The sequence below is a fragment of the Homo sapiens genome, chromosome 13, assembly GCF_000001405.40.
Source record: "Homo sapiens chromosome 13, GRCh38.p14 Primary Assembly".
NCBI lineage: Eukaryota > Metazoa > Chordata > Mammalia > Primates > Hominidae > Homo > Homo sapiens.
In genome coordinates this window covers 49967856-49988109 of record NC_000013.11, presented here as the reverse complement: position 1 = coordinate 49988109, position 20254 = coordinate 49967856, and the positions used below count along the sequence as shown (strand labels likewise).

At 43.9% G+C, this 20254-nt stretch overlaps 1 long non-coding RNA gene across 1 annotated transcript in view, besides 2 other annotated features; it reads left to right on the top strand.

The window, feature by feature from the left end:
* Window positions 1–5561, top strand: part of DLEU2 (deleted in lymphocytic leukemia 2) — a 142993-nt gene extending 137432 nt beyond the window's left edge. Inside the window, exon 14 of the long non-coding RNA NR_152566.1 lies at window positions 4356–5561. This is a non-coding gene — a long non-coding RNA (deleted in lymphocytic leukemia 2). The remainder of the gene's footprint in view (window positions 1–4355) is intronic.
* Window positions 11123–11417: a silencer, noted in NCBI's record as "tiled region #13323; HepG2 Repressive DNase unmatched - State 1:Tss". NCBI's record gives its function as "represses a minimal TATA promoter and a strong SV40 promoter by Sharpr-MPRA in HepG2 cells {active_cell/tissue: HepG2}" and the evidence as "EXISTENCE:reporter gene assay evidence [ECO:0000049][PMID:27701403]".
* Window positions 15313–15505: a silencer, noted in NCBI's record as "fragment chr13:50546741-50546933 (GRCh37/hg19 assembly coordinates)". NCBI's record gives its function as "represses an EF-1alpha promoter that drives an FKBP-Casp9 reporter gene in an ReSE screen in K562 erythroleukemia cells {active_cell/tissue: K562}" and the evidence as "EXISTENCE:reporter gene assay evidence [ECO:0000049][PMID:32094911]".

Sequence of the window (20254 nt, the reverse complement as noted above, 5' to 3'; positions counted from 1 at the left end):
AGCAGTGCTCAGGCCCAGTTTACTGGAGTATTTGTAGCAAAGTGATGCTTAATTCTCATTTGCTAGTGTTCTCTATTCATCCGTTTTCCTTGGGGGATCTTGGGTTTGGTTGTGTGTGGCTACAGCGTAGGGATGAGATTCTATCATCTTTGTGTTAGGCGGCTGTAGTGCCTTTGTTTTCGTTTTTGTTTTGTTTTTTGTTTTTGTTTTTATTTTTGTTTTGAGACAAAGTCTCCCTCTGTTGCCCAGACTGGAGTGTAGTGGTGCAATCTCGGCTCACTGCAACCTCCGCCTCCCAAGGGCAAGTGATTCTCCTGCTTCAGCCTCCGAAGTAGCTGGGATTATAGGTGTATCCCACCATGCCTGGCTAATTTTTGCATTTTTAGTAGAGACAGGGTTTCACCATGTTGGCCAGGGTGGTCTTGAACTCCTGATCCCAGGTGATCTGCCCGCCTTGGCCTCCCAAAGTGCTGGGATTACAGACCTGAGCCACCATGCCTGGCCTATAGTGCCTTCTTTTTTTTTTTTTTAACACAGAGTCTCGCTCTGTCACCCAGGCTGGAGTGCAGTGGCACAATCTCAGCTTACTGCAACCTCCGCCTCCTGGGTTCAAGCGATTCTCCTGCCTCAGCCTCCCAAGTAGCTGGGATTACAGGCATGTGCCACCATACCTGGCTAATTTTTTGTATTTTTAGTAGAGACGGGGTTTCACCATGTTAGCCAATATGGTCTCAATCTCCTGACCTCGTGATCCACCCACCTCAGCCTCCCAAAGTGCTGGGATTACAGGCATGAGCCACTGCACCTGGCCTTTATGGTGTCTTCTTAAGGTGAATAGCACCTCACCCTGATTTTTAACATGTAGCATTTTGCATTGCACTATATCTACTGAAGATGTTAATCACTTCTGCATCTTTCCATAGCTTTCAACATGATACTTTTCAATGGCTGCATAATTTCATTAATACACCTAAATGTAAGGTGTATGTAAAGGAAAAAGACAGTGAAATCCTTGTGTGGTTATTCATACAAGTCCCTATTTAGGGAGCAAATGATTATGTGGGGCCAGGATATCATGGCTGTTAAATGACTGCCCATGTGACACTGGGCAGGGAGTGCCTCTGATACTAGGCAGGCTAGAGATGATGTTTTTGGAACCAGGAGGGAAAAGCTAGAAAAAGTGGCATAAATATAGGAAAAGAATAGGAATTTCAAGAATTGAGTATAGTCTTAAATGTTGACCAAAAAAAAGTAAATTGAGCCCTGAAAAATGATAGAATTTTCCAATTAGGTTACTAATGATTTTACCAGCCTGGCCAACATGGTGAAACCCCATCTCTACTAAAAATACAAAAACATTAACGAAGTGTTGGCACACGCCTGTAATCCCAGCTACTCAGGAGGCGAGGCAAAAAAGTCACTTGAACCTGGGAGGCAGAGGTGATAGTAAGCCGAGATTGCGCCACTGCACTCTAGACCGGGTGACAGAGCAAGACTCTGTTTCAAAAAAAAAAAGAAAAAAAAATCAATTATGTTACTAATGATTTTAGGAAAAGAAATTTTATCTCTGTTTTGGGGCCAGAGGTAGGGAAAGGGAAAGGGTTAAAATTAAGTATTTACTGGCCAGACGAGGTAGCTCACATCTGTAATCCCAGCAGTTTGGGAGGCTGAGGTGGGCAGATCACAAGGTCAGGAGTTCGAGACCAGCCTGGCCAATATGGTGAAACCCCCGTCTCTACTAAAAATACAAAAATTAGCCAGGCATGGTGTCACATGCCTGTAGTCCTAGCTACTCGGGAGGCTGAGGCAGGAGAATCACTTGAACCCGGGAGGCGGAGGTTGCAGTGAGCCAAGATCGTGCCACCGCACTCCAGCCTGGGCAACAGAGCGAGACTCCACCTCAAAAAAATAAAAATAAAAAAAATAAGTATTTACTATCTGCCAGGGACTATGTTGGAAATTTTTCTTGCATTACCTCATTTTACAAGTCACAGTGGGGAAACTGAGGGTTGGAGTAGTTCATTAACCTGCCCACAGTCACATAGGGCAGGTTACCCAGGTCAGTCTTCATTCCACTGCAGTCAGAAGTGAATGAAGATTAAGGAAGCAGAGACAAGGAGTATGAACAATTCTTTCTGGAAGAATGATGGGGAAAGAAGAGAAAGGATTGATAAAGTATAGTGACAGATAATCTCTGCTTTTATAATAAAAATAAAGCTCAGCTCCTCTGAGGTTGACACTGAAAAAGAGTAACTGCAGGGGCCAGAAGCAGAGAGACCAACAAACCCTGGCCCCTGCCCTGGAGATTCATCTTTCTCCCGAGACTCTCCCTCTGATGATTTTGGCTCCATCGAAGCCTCCTTGGGTCATTTCTTCCTTCATATCTGAGGTACAGGCAATGGGATGACAAAAGGCATTTTTCAACATCTCTCCACAACTAAGTCAAAGCTGAAAAGTTTAAAGGACTTTTCTGAACATGAGGGCAATGTTTCCCAACCTTTTGAGGTCATAGAAACTGCTCTGGACACCAGTTTAAATATACAGAATCTTGGGGGACATGGATTTTGAAGGTCTGCAGTGGGAGCCTGGGAAAAGGTATTTTAAAGTAATACCGGTTACCCTTAAATTTCTGCAAGTTCTAGTATCACTGTGCTGGCAAGTAACAAAGAGAAATAAACACAGTAGCATAAAGCCTGGCATGTAGCCTGGCTCACAAAAAAAAAAGACCTGCTTATAACCCCATTCTGGAGTCCTCACCTGCCCCTGCAGGTTTGATGCTATCTTGACACATGCTGGCTATTTTTATCTCCTAGAAAACAATCTAGGCCCCACAGATGGAGGCCCTTTGCCAAATTATAAGGTGGTGGGGGAGGAAGGGAAGAGGCTTCTTCACTCAATAATTTTTCCTTTTCTTTTTCTTTTTCTTTTTTCCTTTTTTTTTTTTTTTATGGAGTTTCACTGTTGTCGCCCAGGCTGGAGTGCAATGGCCCAATCTCAGCTCACTGCAACCTCCACCTCCCGGGTTCAAGCGATTCTCCTGCCTCAGCCTCCCGAGTAGCCAGGATTATAGGCACCCACCACCACACCCTAATTTTTTGTATTTTTAGTAGAGATGGGGTTTCACCATGTTGACCAGGCTGGTCTTGAACTCCTGACCTCAAGTGATTCACTCGCCTTGGCTTCCCAAAGCATTGGGATTATAGGCATGGGCCACCGTGCCTGGCCACTCAATATTTTTCAAAGACCAGGTTGTTAGTCTTTTTATTTTTTGAGACAGTGTCTTGCTCAGTTGCCCAGGCTGGAGTGCAGTGGTGCAGTCATAGCTCACTGCAGCTTCTAACTCCTGGGCTCAAGTGATCCACCTTCCTCAGCCTCCTGAGTAGCTGGGACTACAGGTGCATGTCACCAGGACCAGCTAATTTTTTTTTAACTTTTTTTTTTTTTTTTTTGTAGAGACAAGGTCTCACTAGGTGGTCCAGGCTGGTCTCAAACTTCTGGCCTCAAGCAATCCTCCCACCTTGGCCTCCCAAAGTGCTGGGATTATAGGCATGAGCCACTGTGCCCAGCAGTTGTTAGTTCTTTACCAGCACATGATGTAAGTCTTCCCGACACAGACAAGGTCTAGCTTGGCCCGCCAGACTGCTTCTGCCTTGTTGTCCCTCCAGCAGTGAGTGGCAGAATGATGGCAGCCAGCTTTCTCCCACAGGCTGCTCAGTCTGACTACGCATTAGTATTAGGGAAGGTGACCATACATGTTCAGGTTTGCCTGGGAAGAGTCCTGACCACACCTTTGAGCCCAGACTCTCCTCCACTTAGTCTTTCATTTTCATTTATTAATTCCCAGTTTGGATGATAAATTACATAGTCACCCCGTCTGTGAACAAAAGAGCTAGAACAAAAATACAACTCCACAAAAGCAAGAAGTGGACTGCCAACAACTTAATAACTTCCATGGATCAAGGAAATCATGCTGTGACACCACACACATCATTTCAACTCATCCTCACAGCAACCCCACAAGGGAATTTTGGAGACATGAATTTTGCAGATAAGGAAAGTAACAGGGTGAAGTGAGTTGGCCAGGGTCATCCAACTATGAGGAACAGAGGTAGGGTCAAAGATCCATCTGCATGAGCCCAGCTCCTGCTCTAGATGGGCCTACCTGCCTCCTCAGGGCATGTGGTCACCTCACCCACCAATTACTGACTGCGTTAAGAAATAGAATTTTACCAAGAAAGTTGCTTGATTTCAACATGAAAGAAATACTCTCAATATTCATATTTTTCATCTTAAATTTGAAAGTAGAAATCTGCTTTCTGCAGCTGTCTAATTCAGCTCTTGTTTCTGTAACCTAGTTTGAAAGAAGCAACTAAAGAAAGAAACTTTGAAAGAAGCTTCCAAAAGAAGCAACCAAGTCTACAAAGGCACAGTTTGACTCAAATGGATCCAACTGATTAGCAAATGGAAAATAACATGGAGGAATATATTTTGCATGACAAGCATAGCAGCTCCAAGTCATCCCTAATGAAGCCAAAAATTTAAGTGCAACCCAGAGAATGGATGGTTCAGAATCTTTTTTTTTTTTGAGATGGAGTCTCGCTCTGTCACCTAGGCTGGAGTGCGGTGGCATGATCTCGGCTCACTGCAAGCTCCGCCTCCTGGGTTCACGCCATTCTCCTGCCTCAGCCTTCCGGGTAGCTGGGACTACAGGTGCCTGCCACCACGCCCGGCTAATTTTTTGTATTTTTAGTAGAGACGGGGTTTCACCGTGTTAGCTAGGATGGTCTCAATCTCCTGACCTCGTGATCTGCCCGCCTCAGCCTCCCAAAGTGCTGGAATTACAGGCGTGAGCCACCGCGCCCGGCCCAGAATCTTTTTTAAATTTTTTATTATTATTATTTTTTCTGAGATGGAGTCCGGCTCTGTGGCCAGGCTGGAGTGCAGTGGCACAATCTCAGCTCACTGCAACCTCTGACTCCCAGGTACAAGTGATTCTCCTGCCTCAGCCTCCTGAGTAGCTGGGATAACAGGCACGTGCCACCACGCCCAGCTAATTTTTGTATTTTTAGTAGAGACGGGGTTTCACCATGTTGGCCAGGATGGTCTCGATCTGCCTACCTTGGCCTCCCAATGTACTGGGATTACAGGCGTGAGCCACCGTACCCGGCCCAGAATCTTTGCCTTTTGTTTGCATAGTTTAATCTTCTAAACCAGTTGCTTTCCCAGAAAAGGTGACTTAAAGTCATAGCCTTTGTGTTCATCACCATACTCTCCATAGTTTTACAAATTATTCAGTTTATTTTTAAAAGGGGTAATTTTTAAAATTTTTATTTTTAATTCCGAAGCATTCCTTTTAATACATTCTCTTGAGGGAAAAAAAAAATCACACATAGTGATTGTGTGTGGTAGTGATTATGTGTGGCCTAAGTGGCAATTGATCAATACCCCAATCTCAAGCCTGTACATTGTTACTGGTTGACTGGTTGGTTGCCTGGTGGGCTTTTTGTCCTTCCAGATGTTTTTCTACCTTCTGCCTTTTCCAATAAAGCTTCCATTATAGGCGTATTTTCCTTCTTCCCTGCATACCCCACAGAAGGAAAGCTGCTAAAATCTCAGAGCCGGAAAGTTCCAAGGGGGCTGCAGCAGCCCCTCTCTCCTAGTTTTTGTTCACCCTTACTAAGAGCAAGGCAGCTCAAGTCAGATTGCTGCATGTGCATTTTGACTCCATCATTGAGCAAGTTCATTTATTCACTATTCATTCAGCAACATTTGAGCACTTCTCTCTTCCTCCATGGCCACCATTCTAGCCCATGCCACCATGATTTATTGTTTCTGTCTTTGATGCTGAGCCTGTCTCCCTACAGCCACATGGTCCTTCTACACAATCATATCACTGCTCTGCTTACATCCCTTCCCCAGCTTCCCACCCACTTAGTCCAAGTCCAAGTCCCTTGGTTGGGAGCCAACAGATTCCTACAGGTCTGCCATCTCCCCAACCCATGGCCAAGCCATCTCTGACTTCTGCCTGTGCGCTCTACTCTAGCCACATCGGCCTCCTTGCTATTCCTCAAACATGCCAAACTCGCCTCTTCCTTAGCAACTTGGCATTTTTTTTTCCCTCTGCCTAGAATGTTCTTCCTCCAAAGTCTACCTGGCTCACTCCTTCCTCTCCTTCAGTTGTTCTGCTCAGATGTCACCTTCACGGGAAAGTCTTCCTGGCCATCCTATTACAAATGGTGGCCTCTCACTGCCTCACAGCACTCCCTGGTCTCCTTTCCTGCTTCATTTTTCTCCATGCCACTTATCGCCACCTGACATACTTTGTATTTCTTTGATTACTGTCTCCTCCCACTAGAATGTGAGCTCTGTACAGAAGCAATATGCTAGCAGCTATAAGAGTGTCTGGCACATGGCAGGCCCTCAGTAAATATTAGTTGAATGAATGAATGAAGAGTTTGCATGCAGCAATGGGGAGCCAGATCAGGTACGGCCTTGTAAGTCCTGGAAAAGACTTTGGGTTTTATTTTAAATATGAAGAGAAGCCATTGGAGAGCACATCATCTGATATACAGTTTAGAAAGATCACTCTGGGCTAGGAGTGGTGGCTCATGCCTGTAATTTCAACGCTATGGGAGACTGAGGCAGGAGGATCACTATAGGCCAGTAGTTCAAGGCCAGCCTAGCAGCCATGCACGGTGGCTCACACCTGTAATCCCAGCACTTTGGGAGGCCAAGGTGGGCAGATCACCTGAGGTCAGAAGTTCGAGACCAGCCTGGGCAACATGGTGAAACCCCAACTCTACTAAAAATACAAAAATTAGCCAGGCATAGTGGTGGGCGCTGGTAGTCCCAGCTACTCAGGAGGCTGAAGCAGGAAAATCACTTGAACCCGGGAGGCAGAGGTTGCAGTGAGCCAAGATCACACCACTGCACTCCAGCCTGGGCAAAAGAGCAAGACTCCATCTCAGAAAACAAAACAAAACAAAACAAAAAACCAGCCTAGGAAACATAGCGGGACTGCATCTCTACAAAAAATTAAAAATTAGCCAGGTGTGGTGGTATGCACCTGTAGCCTAAGCTGCTTGAAAGGCTAAAGTGAGAGGACCACTTGAGCCCAGGAGATTGAAGCTGCAATGAGCTATGACCACACCACTGCACTGCAGCCTGGGCAATAGACTTAGACCCTGTCTCAAAAAACAAACAAACAACAACAACTAAAAAAACCCACCCTGCCCATTGTGTGGAAGGAAGATGGTACTAAGGGTAAGAGTGGCCCCGGGGGACAGTTTGGAGGCTAATGCGACATCTAAGCAAGAAAGATAATGAGGACTTGAGCTAGGGTAGGAAAAAAGGTCATATTTTAAAAATATATTTTGGAGTTATAGCTGACAGAACTTGTTAATAAATTGGAGGAGGGGCCAAAGAGGAAAAGAGAAATGGAGGATAACTTCCAGGCTTGGGGCCTCAATACTGAATCTCCCTGAGCCTGTTTACTGTTCTGTAAAATGAGGGTAACTGGGCCCCCCCACCATGGGATCTCTGTGAGGAAGGAGGTAGAGGATATAGACTGCCCATACTGACAGGCACATGGTAAACCCTCAGTGCACAGTAGCTCTTATCATTGCCCCAGTGATGACTGTATTTCCCCTGCTTCATCCATAAATAGGATTACAGAAATAACCACCCCATAGAGACTGGGGAAAAAAACTTCTTGTAGAGTGTACCCTCCCCTCCTAAGGGATAGACTTGTACTTTAACAGAATACTTAACAGTAGTGTTGAAACATGTTATTTGCACACAGATAAATAAAAGGATTCCTCATATTTCAAAAGAAGTGTAACACTGTTTTAAGTAGTGTTTGTCCATTCAATACTTAATAGCAGGAGTAACTAAAAGCTGAAATTACAAACCCCTGCTGATTAAAAATAAATCAAAACATAAGATATAAAGCACATGTGAAATAATAATGATTTTTTTTTTTTTTTTTGAGACGGAGTCTCGCTCTTGTCACCAGGCAGGAGTGCAGTAGCACGATCTTGGCTCACTGCAACCTCCACCTCCCAGGTTCAAGCGATTCTCCTGACTCAGCCTCCCGAGTAGCTGGGACTACAGGCACCGTGGCACCATGCCCAACTAATTTTTGTATTTTTAGTGGAGACAGGGTTTCACCATGTTGGACAGGATGGTCTCGATTTCTTGACCTCATGATCCACCCACCTCAGCCTCCCAAAGTGCCAGGATTACAGGCATGAGCCCCCGCGCCTGGCCATAATAACGATTTTTTTTTTTTAGATGGAGTTTCGCACTTGTTGCCCAGGCTGGAGTGCAATGGCATAATCTCAGCTCACCACAACCTCTGCATCCTGGGTTCAAGTGATTCTCCTGCCTCAGCCTCCTGAGTAACTGGGATTACAGGCATGCACCACCATTCCTGGCTTTTTTTTTTTTTTTTTTTTTTTTTTTTTTTTGTATTTTTAGTAGAGACAGGGTTTCTCCATGTTGGTCAGGGTGGTCTTGAACTCCTGACCTTAGGTGATCCGCCCACCTTGGCCTCCCAAAGTGCTGGGATTGCAGGGGTAAGCCACCGCGCCCCGCCGCAACAATGACTTTTTTAAAAAACAGGCATTTACTGCATTTTCGTACACTAGAAGCTAAAATACCATGCTGTCCAGTTCAAAACAGGACACCTGGCAACCCTGTTCCTAACAGCTTTCTGCAAAGCCAACACCCAGTGCTTTCTGGCTGCATTGGCCTGTCCTCATTTCCCCCTGGAAAACTTGTTTTAAACAGTACAGATAACATTCTGCCTCTATTACAATTAGCAGCTTCTCTCACCAGGTTATCTAGTGTGGCAAGTGCTAGTGCGGAGTCACTTAGTATCTTCTTTCAAAACCTCCCAGTGGCTGCCTTCAGGTAGCATGTGAAAAGCTGCTCATGGGGAATTCAGCAGCTGCTTCAGGCCCTCCAGGGCATTTCTTGCTGGCATCTTCTGCCTCACCAGATCGCCCTGATTATTAGTGATCTGGGCCCCCTACCTAATGGAAAACCAGCCACTCTTCTTCCCAGCCCCAATGGATATTGATGAGGGGTCCTTAAATCTGGGATCCTTTCCCCTCCTTGCCCAATAATTGAACTCCTAAAATCCTTTTACTACCTGGGAATCTGCAAAGACAACCTTGAATTTGAACTGGAGCTAGAAGGACTTCCTCCGAACGAATTTGCCCATAGATGACTCTCTGGTACATGGTCTCTGTTGTTCAACTTTCTCTATTCTGAAGTCTAGAAGACACCCTTGCTTCTGAAAGTGGGGCCTAAGAACCTGCAGCCTCACCAGGGAGCTTGGTAGAAATCCAGAATCTGAGGCAGGATTCTAGACTTATTGGATCAGATTCTGCATTTCAACAAGATTCCCCAGTGACCCCCAGGCATCTTCAAATTTGAGAGGCCAGGAAAGTGCTCAGGCCCTGCCCTTCCCTTCCCGTTGGCTGGGGAGAATTCCTGTAATTTGCCCTGTTTACGGGTCCTTAATCTCCAACTTCACTGTCCTCGCTTTCCAAAGAATCCTGAGTGGCTTCCTTCCAACACCTTATCTGTCTTCCCCCACGCCCCTGAAGCCAGGGCCTCTTTTCTTCAAGGCCACCCCCCAACTCATCTCAGGCTGAGGCTCCTCTCTTGAGGCCATATCCCATGGTAGCATTTCTTTGAGGGCTGCTTTTCTGCCGTTTTTCTCCCCAGGTAGGGCCTCTAAAACCGATGGAAGTGAAGTGCTACACCTCAGAGCTGCTTTAGCCCTTAGAGCTGGCCAGGGTCTGAGTGGGCCTCTCACAGGGCCACAGGACTGCCCTTTCCCCCAGCATGCCTAGAAGCTGAGACCACTCACACCACATGAACATGCTATCCTTGTTCCTCTTTCCTGCCAGCCTCAACACAACCAGAATACAGCCCAATAATGGCTGCCTACAAATGGGAGGCACCCAGGGAAGGGAGGGGGTGCTGATTAAGAACCAGCCTGGAGGAGGATCATGGTTTCTCTGAAACAAGAAGGAGGTGAGGGTTGATGCGGAAGGTATATTAGAAATGCTTCAAGCACTTGATGCTTTGAGGGTTTGGGGATTTGAGTTTGGGTTTGTTTTTTAAGCTTAACAATGTGAAAAAGATGTCAAATAACTTTTCTGAACTGTGGCAATCAGAGCCTTGTCCAGAATCATAACTTAATGGCTTTTTGGCTCTCAATTTGATGGTCAGTTTGGCTAACCAACACTTTTTAATTCTGTGTTATTTATTACTCAGTTGATCCCCCCCATAATATGTTAAAAGCCTACTTCCAACCTGTTAAAATGTACCCTTGGAGTGCTGTCCAGATTCACCATTAAAATAGTGTCTTTCCAGTCTTATGTATTTTATTCAGCAGTTACTACAGTACTTTTTTTTTTTTTTTTGACAGGATCTCATTCTGTTGCCCAGGCTGGAGTCCAGTGGTGTGATCACAGCTCACTGAAGCTTTGACCTCCTAGGCTCAAGCTATCTTCCTGCCTCAGGCTCCTGAGTAGCTGGGACTATAGGCACATGCCACTATACCTGGCTAATTTTTAATTTTTTGTAGAAACTGGGTCTCGCTATGTTGCCCAGGCTGGTCTCGAACTCCTGGGTTCAAGCATTCCTGACACTTTGGCCTCCCAAAGTGCTGGGATTACAGGCATGAGATGCCATGCCTGGCCATATTTTTATTTTTAAATCTTTCTATTTAAATAAGGAGAGGGAGAGAGAGAGAAAGCTCTAGGTGCATTTTTTCCAAATGGACACCTTGCCATGTTTTCAACACACATCTAAAGCCTGAATTGAGAGTATAATTTTTCTGTAGATACATCACCTTGAGGAATTTTATAAACTTCAGTTTCCTCATCTGAGAAATGAGGTAGTTGGATTAGATGAACTGGCTCATCAAGTGAGTATAAGGAGCCTTCCAAATTTAAGAATTATTAACATTTCCCGGAAGACTAACCAGGCAATTTTTCTTCTTTAGGTTTGACTTTCTGAGATGTCATGGCTTAGTATTCTTTAAGCAAATTCTGGAATGTTCTTGTCCCTTTGGAATAATTGTAATGTGGATTTGTTCTGTGCAACTGATGATATTCTAATGTGTTTGGGCAGGTTTAAGTCTAAATTTCCAAAGTCTCACACCTGTGGTTTTACCAAAAAGGTACTGCTCAAGGAAACCAGTGATGGGCAAAGGATGCATGGTATAGCTATGATGCAAGAGCGCCCTCTGCAGGCCATGCGAAGATGAGTCTCTTTCTTAAAGGGTAGCTTTTCCGCTCTTTGTGTAGAGTACAACCCTTCCCTTCCTCCTGTAGCATTCTCATCAAGAAACATTTGTTTAGTGCTTACCCTGAGCTAGGCACAGTGTGCTTAGGGCTGGGAACACAAAAATAAAAGCATCCTAGGCTTAAAGGATCTCACGGTCTAATGGGGTACATCCCAATCAGATCATTATAATGCAACCTGAGAGGTGTGTCACTGGAGCTGTGCCTCATGTCCCCATTAGTTTGCAATCACAAGTTGCACACAAGAGCCGAAATCAAACTGTACAGTACAATGCTTTTTTGTTAGGAGAGAAGGACTGGTGACTCACCCTAGCATTTTCTCTTTGCACAGAAACAGATGCCCTGCCCAGAAGCAACACGGCTAATGGGTGCCACCGTGGAGACCCAGGCAACCTGAGAGTAGTCCTGACAGCCAGACCTCCAGGGTGGAAATGGGAAGGTCTACAGAGAAAGGTCAGGATTTAACAGGGAAATGGAGGAGGGCAAGAATGGGGGTCAGGAGGTATCTACGCATTTTGATATGAAATTAAGAAGTTCATTTAAAATATACAACCAAGGCCCGTGACACTTTTTGTAACAAGATTCTAGCTTATCTTCCCACTAGATTTTGTTGGACTTTTTTCAAATTGTATCTGATTGTGTTTTTCAAACTAGGCCAGGAGGGCCCCTCAACTTCTAAAATACAAAAATTCTTTCTGCTCCTCTTTTCAAATCTTCTCAGATTCTGGACACACCCAGAAATTCCATGTGCCTTTTTACTCCCTTAATCCTGTTAACTTTTTGTCTCTTCTTAGCAATGACTTCCTTTCATTTTAGAGAAAGTTCTGCTGGTAACATACTGTATAAGCCAGGAGAGAAAAAGAACTTGAAAGAGGAACACATTTTTCTTCATTTTTTTTTTTTCAAAAAAGGTAAGGGAAAAAAATAAAGGAAGTGGAGAAATATACTACTCAGTACAGTTGTCAAACAAATTTCTTGGAACCATGGCCTACAAGAATACCTATCTTAACTGCATTGCACTAGAAACCACATTTTCATATTCCTTTTGTGATAATTCTAAGATAATGAATTAGATGTTAGCCATTGTTTTCCAGAATAGAATTTCTGGAGTTACTGGTAGTTCAGGGAATTTTAGTCACAAGATATATATTTTCTGTACCTTTGTGTGTGTGTATATGTGTGTATGCATATATACTTATATACATGCACATATATACACATACACACAAACATGCATGTGCTATAGCTTTTGAATGGAGATATATGTGTGTGTACACACACACACATTCATTCATTCATTTATATCATACAGCTTCTCTGAAGAGCAACAGGAGAAAAATGCAGGAAATATAAAGGCAACCTGGGGTCAGTCCTATGCAGTGAGCTCTTTGAGGTCTCCATCAGAAATAAAAGATTTCAGTCTTTTTTGGCTGGGCACAGTGGCTCACACCTGTAATCCTAACACCTTGGGAGGCCAAGGTGGGAGGATTAACAAAAAATACAAAAATTAGCCGGGGGTGGTGGTGGGAGCCTGTAGTCCCAGCTACTTGGGAGGCTAAGATGGTAGGATCACCTGAGCCAGGGAGATGGAGGCTGCGGTGAGCCATGATCGCACCACTGCACACCAGCCTGGGTGACAGAGTGAGACCCTGTCCTAAAAAAAAAAAAAAAAAAAAATCAATCTTTTCATAGTTATTCAAATTAAAACAACAAAATAGAGATGTGAAGACTTGGCTCAGGAAGATTCAGTCATCTCAACAGTCACTGTAAAGAACTGCCATCAGACTCCTTTTGACTCTAAATGGCAAAGGATACCAACACTGTTCTTCCTAGGAAGCTAATCTATAGTTAAAATAGGCACATTGCATAGCTCTGTGTATCTACAGTGTTGTAATTGTCTAACAGAGTGGAGATACTAAATGTACTCAGTGCATAAAACACATTTTATTTAAAATAGAGAGGAAATTCCTGAGGGAACAATAAAATCAAGGATGTTACAGTAATTTCATGAGCCATCCAGATATAATTACCAACAAATAAAAATAAAATATTTCATAATGCTCTGTTTTATTTAAATATTGGCTTATAAGGCATTGTTCTGTTATTTTCTTTGGTTAAAACAAAGTTTTTAAAATCAATATCTCATACTTGTTAGTATGTATTAGTGGGAAACCTTTATAATAAAGTAATTTTATGTGCAAAAGCTGCCTAGTTTCCAGCTCTGGGGCATTCCGGGAGCACAAACCTCAGGGGCATCATTATGGCCCAAAAAACCTGGGGATTGAGTTGACGGGGCTTTACCCAAGAGGACCTAAAACAACACAGTTAAAGATGGAGAAACAGGCCGGGTACGGTGGCCTCCCACTTTGGGAGGCCAAGGTGGACAGATCACCTGAGATCCGGAGTTCGAGATCAGCCTGACCAACATGGAGAAATCCTATCTCTACTGAAAGTACAAAATTAGCCAGGTGTGGTGGCACATGCCTGTAATCCCAGGTACTCAGGAGGCTGAGGCAGGAGAATCGCTTGAACCCAGGGGGCAGAGGTTGCAGTGAGCCGAGATCACGCGATTGCACTCCAGCCTGGGCAATAAGAGCCAGACTCCGTCTCAAAAGAAAAAAAAAAAAGATGGAGAAACAGAAGCCCAGGGTTCAGCTGTTAAGAGAGGCCTGGCAAGGGACAGTCAATAATGGGAGAACAGTAGGGGTTAGAACCTAGATGCTGAGAATAAGATAAAACAAGGCTTCACAAGGCCTGAATCAACTAGAACTAAGTTTAAAACTAAAAGTATGGATGAGAAGATGTGCAAGACTATTCCTTGTCCCTCTTAAATTAGCAATTTAATTTACACTGAGAAATGTATGGCCATAAGGGACCAAAAAAATAATAATAATGTTGACATGATTGCCTTTTTTTTTTTTTTTGAGATGGAGTCTCACACTGTCACCCAGGTGGTGTGCAGTGGTGCGATCTCGGCTCACCGTAACCTCTGCCTCCCAGGTTCAAGCAATTCTCCTACTTCAGTCTCCCAAGCTAGGATTACAGGTGCCCACCACCACACCCAGCTAATTTTTTTTATTTTTAGTAGAGACGGGGTTTCACCAGGTTAGTCAGGCTGGTCTCGAACTCCTGACCTCAAGTGATCCACCCGCCTCAGCCTCCGAAAGTGCTGGGATTACAGGCGTGAGCTACTGCACCCGGATTGGCCGATTTCCTTCTCAAATTCTAGACATGTGGTGTGACAGCTCTTAATCACAAGCTATTTTATGGGTTTACCTGACAAAGCACTGTTACAGAGACTAGAAATACCCAAAGAAATACTGCATCCTCTCCGCAGACCTACATGGGAATCAGAAGGTGGACTGCTGAACAACAGATCAGCACAAGAAGTTCAAAGAATGAAGTTGCAATGTCATTAGGCTATGATAGCTTAGGCATCCATCTGACTATTGGAGTGTCTTATTCCCATACAGCATCTATATTAGGGCTAGATTTGCTACTGGGGCCCGAAATGCTGGCAGTCCTATGGTATTCAGAGCTGTAAAAAAAGAGGGAATCAAAAAGACTAGGAGTTCATTTCGACAGCCTTGGCAATGTATAGGATTTTGCGATTTTCTTTTGTAAATTGGAGATTCTTTTTTTCATGCATAAAACATTTTTCATAGAACTGTAAAAAGCTCCCAGACCCTTGGTGTGGGGCCTATACTATTCAATGGATAAACTGGCCCTCTCTGTCGTAGCCTCAAAGATGTAGGAAACAGCATTCCTGATAGAATTAAGGGAGTTGGAGGTGCTGGTTACTGGGAATAAGCCACGATGGAAGCTCCATGGGAGCAGAAGCAAAACTGTATCCCCAGCACCTACACAGGGCCTGGTTCCTAGTAGGGAAAGGTAAATATTTGAAAATGAATGAACAAATTACTAGATAAACCAGAAAGTGAAAGTAGAAGGGAGATGAGATAACTAGATTTAAGTAAACAAAACCTCAAGAAATCAGAATTCAAGAAATTATATCAAGTATAAAAGACTCTAGCAGGCTGGACGTGGTGGCCCACGCCTGTAATCCCAGCACTTTGGGAGGCCGAGGCGGGTGGATCAAGTTTGAGACCGGCCTGACAAACCTGGTGAAACCCCGTCTCTACTAAAAATACAAAAACTTAGCTGGGCATGCTGGAAGGTGCCTGTAATCCAGCTACTTGGGAAGCTGAGGCAGGGGAATCACTTGAACCCGGGAGGTGGAGGTTGTAGTGAGCCGAGATCACACCATTGCACTCCAGGCTGGGCGACAGAGTGAGACTCCACCTCCACCCCCCCAAAAAAAATAAAGGCTCTAGCATCTGGGAACCAGAATACAGGTCTAATCTTTCACAGTTCCTGCTGACCTAGGGTAGCATCACATTTCTAGACATTTCCCCAATATATTATTGTGAAAATTTGCAAACAGAGCAAAGTTGAAAAAATTTTATAGTGAACAGCATATACCTACCATGTAGACTACCACTAACATTTCACTATAGTTGGCTTATCACATGTCTGTACCTTTCTCTAAGCATTCGTCAATCCCTGTTTTTTTTTTTTTTGGGCGCATTTAAAAGTAAATTGTAGACATCAGTAGACTTCCGCCTAAATAACTCAGCATGTATATCATTGACTAGGTTAAATATTTGTTGACTTTTTTCTTTTGAAGTAAAATATGTATACAATGAAATGTATAAATCTTATGTGCTTGTGTGTAAATTTCCAAGTTTTAATAATAATAAATGCCTATACCTTTGTATCCCAAATTGCTATCGAGACATAGAACATTACTATCACTTCAGAAATTTCCTTTTTTTTTTTTTTAATTGAGACGGAGTCTTGTTCTGTCACCCAGGCTGGAGTGCGGTGGCACAATCTCGGCTCACTGCAGCCTCAACCTCGGGCTCAAGCAGTCCTCCTGCCTCAGCCTCCAGAGTAGCTTTTTTGTAGAGACAGGGTTTCACAATGTTGCCCAGGCTGGTCCTGAACTCCTGGGCTCCAGTAACCTGCCCACCTCTACCTCCCAAAGTGCTAGGATTATAGGACTGAGCCACCGCGCCCGGCCCCATAATTTTTTTTTTGAGACGGAGTTTTGCTCTTGTCGCCCAGGCTGGAGTGCAATGGCTTGATCTTGGCTCACTGCAACCTCCGCCTCCCGGGTTCAAGTGATTCTCCTGCCTCAGCCTCCCAAGTAGCTGGGATTACAGGCATGCTCACCACACCTGGCTAATTTTGTATTTTTAGTAGAGATGGAGTTTCTCCATGTTGGTCAGGCTGGTCTTGAACTCCCGACCTCAGGTGATCCGCCCACCTCAGCCTCCCAAAGTGCTGCAATTACAGGCATGAGCCACCACACCCAGCCGATAGGCCCCATAATTTTTTTAAGTCTTTTTTTTTTTTTTATTGCTGGGGGTACAGGACAAGGACAATAAAAATGTTGAATCTTCAATATATTCTGATTACAGCTTAAAATAGCTCAGGACAACTTGCAGGAGGTGTTACATCGGGGAAGCTATCATTGCGGGAGGTATTATACATCATCTTAAGAAATTATCTCAGGCCAAGCACAGTGGCTCACGCCTTTACTCTGGGAGGCTGAGGCAGGAGGATTGCTTGAAGCTAGGAATTCAAGACCAGCCTGGGTGACATGGCGAAACCCTGTCTCTACCAAAAATACAAAAATTACCCCACCATGGTGGCACACGGCTGTGGTCCCAGCTACCTGGGAGGCTTAGATGGGAAGATGGTTTGAGCCTGGGAGGCAGAGGTTGCAGTGAGCTGAGATTGTCCCATTGCACTCCAGCCTGGGCAACAGAGCCAGACCCTGTCTCAAAAAAAAAAAAAAAAAAGATCTCAAGTAATGAGATCTAGGAGAATGATTACGTGCTTACTTGCTATTCTCAAACTTCAGTCTCCAGTTGAAGAAAAGGCAAACATAAACATAGAGCCTCAGCAAACCTCTTTCCTGTTTCACATGCAACCTCCATTGACAGACACTCAGAAGGAATAGTGTTCACTGACACCCCCACCTTCTGTCCTATAACTCAAATGGCCTAGGGGCCTGCGACTGCTGGGCTCTAGACTGCTCTGGGGAGCTTTCTGTACTTTTTCTAATGCCTAGGCAAATTCAGTTCTTAAAACCAACAAGCCAATAAGTCTTTGTTCCCCTCAAATTATGTTTGAAGCAATTCAAAGTGCTAAGTATATATCTTAATAAAATAAAATTTATATTACCAGATTGGATCTTTATGTAATGAGCAGTTTGTTGTTGTTGTTGTTGTTTTTAATTGAGATGGAGTCTCGCTCTGTCGCCCAGGCTGGAGTGCAATGGTGCAATTTCAGCTCGCTGCAACCTCTGCCTCCTGGTTTCAAGCGATTTTTCGTGCCTCAGCCTCCCAAGTAGCTGGGATTACAGGTGCCTGCCACCATGCCCACCTAAGTTTTTTGTTTGTTTTTTTTTTTTTGAGATGGAGTCTCACTCTGTCGCCCAGGCTGGAGTGCTGTGGCGTGATCTCGGCTCACTGCAAGTTCCGCCTCCCGGGTTCACACCATTCTCCTGCCTCTACCTCCCGAGTAGCTGGGACTACAGGCACCCACCACCACGCCCGGCTAATTTTTTGTATTTTAAGTAGAGACGGGGTTTCACTGTGTTAGCCAGGATGGTCTCCATCTCCTGACCTCGTGGTCCGCCCGCCTCAGTCTCCCAAAGTGCTGAGATTACAGGTGTGAGCCACCGCGCCCAGCCAATGAGCAGTTTTCTATGCAACATTTCAGATGCAGCTTCTGGCTTTAGAACGTGGAACTTCAGTCTCATCTGTGCAGTACCTGGACATTGTGATATCATTAAAAAATACCGTATTAAAATACACTTTTAAAACTTTTATTATGGAAATTTTCAATCACACACAAAAATAGAATAATCAATCCTCCTGTACCCATCACCCAGCCCCAATAATGATCTTCTTAGGAAAATGCATTTTAAGATTCACCCATGTTTTTGTATGAATCAGTAATCTGTTCCTTTTTATTGCTGAGTAGTATTCCATTATATGGATTATCACAATTTATCATTTTCGATTGCTCATTTTGGGAAAATTATGTATAACTAGTCATATACATGTTTTTGTATGAATGTAAGCTTTCATTTCACTTGGATAAATACCTAGAAGTGAGATTGCTGGGTCACATAAGTATATGCTTAACTTTATAAGAAACTGCCAAATTTGTTTTTCCAAAGTGGCTGTACCATTTTGTATTTCCACCAGCAATGAATGACTCTGTTACTCCACATCAAGGCCAATATTTTGTATTCAGTTCTTTATTTTAGCCATTGTAATAGGTGCATAGTGGTATCCCATTGTGGTTTTAATTTGCATATCCTTCATGACTAATGATGTTGAATATCTTTCCCTATGTTTATTTGCCATCCATACATCTTCTTTGGGGAAGACAGACATTTGCACAGTTTTAAGTTTAATTATTTGTTTTATTATTGTTATGGCTAAAGAGTTCTTTATATATTCTAGATACAAACTCTTTATTGGATATGTGATTTGCAAATATTTTCTCCTTGTCTATGGCTTGTATTTTCATTCTCTTCACAGATTTTTATACAAAGCAAAAGTCTTTTTTTTTTTTTTTTTGAGACACAGTCTCGCACTTTCACCCAGGCTGGAGTGCAATGGCGCAATCTTGGCTCACTGCAAACTCTGCTTCCTGGGTTCAAGTGATTCTCCTGCTTCAGCCTCCCAAGTAGCTAGGATTACAGGCGCCTGCCACCATGCCCAGCTAATTTTTGTATTTTTAGTAGAGATGGTGTTTCACCATGTTGGCCAGGCTGGTCTCGAACTACTGACCTCGTGATCCACCCGCCTCAGCCTCCCAAAGTGCTGGGATTACAGACATGAGCCACCATGCTCAGCCCACAAAAGTCTTTAATTTTCGTAAAACTCAATTTCTCATTTTTTTCTTTGATGGGTTGTGCTTTTGGTGTCATATTTAAATACTCATAGTTGGCCGGACATGGTGGCTCACGCCTGTAATCCCAGCACTTTGGGAGGCCAAGGAGGGTGGATCACCTGAGGTCAGGAGTTCGAGACTAGCCTGGGCAACATGGTGAAACCCCGTCTCTACTAAAAATACAAAAATTAGCTGGGCCTGGTGGCGCATGCCTGTAATCTCAGCCTCTTGGGAGGCTCAGGCAGGAGAATCGCTTTAACCCGGGAAGCGGAGGTTGCAGTGAGCCTAGATCACGCCATTGCACTCTAGCCTGAGTGACTAGAGCGAAACTCCATCTCAAAAAAACAAACAAACATACCTCATAGTCAAACTCAAGGTCTCTTACACTTTCTCCTAGACGTTTTATAGTTTTATATTTTATATTTAGGTCTATAAACCACTTTGAAATAATTTTTGTATAAGGTATGAATTATGTGTTGAGGTTCCTTTTTTGCATATGGATGAAGAATCATTCTAGCACCATTTGTTGAAAAAACTGTTCCTTCTCTATTGAATTGCCTTTGAACTTTTGTCAAAAAATCTGTTGACTATATTTGTGTAAGTTTAATTTGGGCCGTTTATTCTGTTTAATGTATATACGTGTCTATTCTTTCAACAATACCATGCTGTCTTGATTACTATAGCTTTACAGTAAGCCTTAAAGTAGTGTGGGTCCTCCAACTTAGTTCTTTTGTTGTTGTTTTATTTAAAAAAAAAAATTGGGCCAGGTGTATTGGCTCATGCCTGTAATCCCAGCAGTCTGGGAGGCCAAGCTGGGCGGATCGCTTGAGGGCAGGAGTTTGAGACCAGCCTGGCCAACATGGTGAAACGCCCTCTCTATTAAAAATACAAAAATTACCCAAGTGTGGTGGTGGGTGCCTGTAATCCCAGCTACTTGGAAGGCTGAGGCAGGA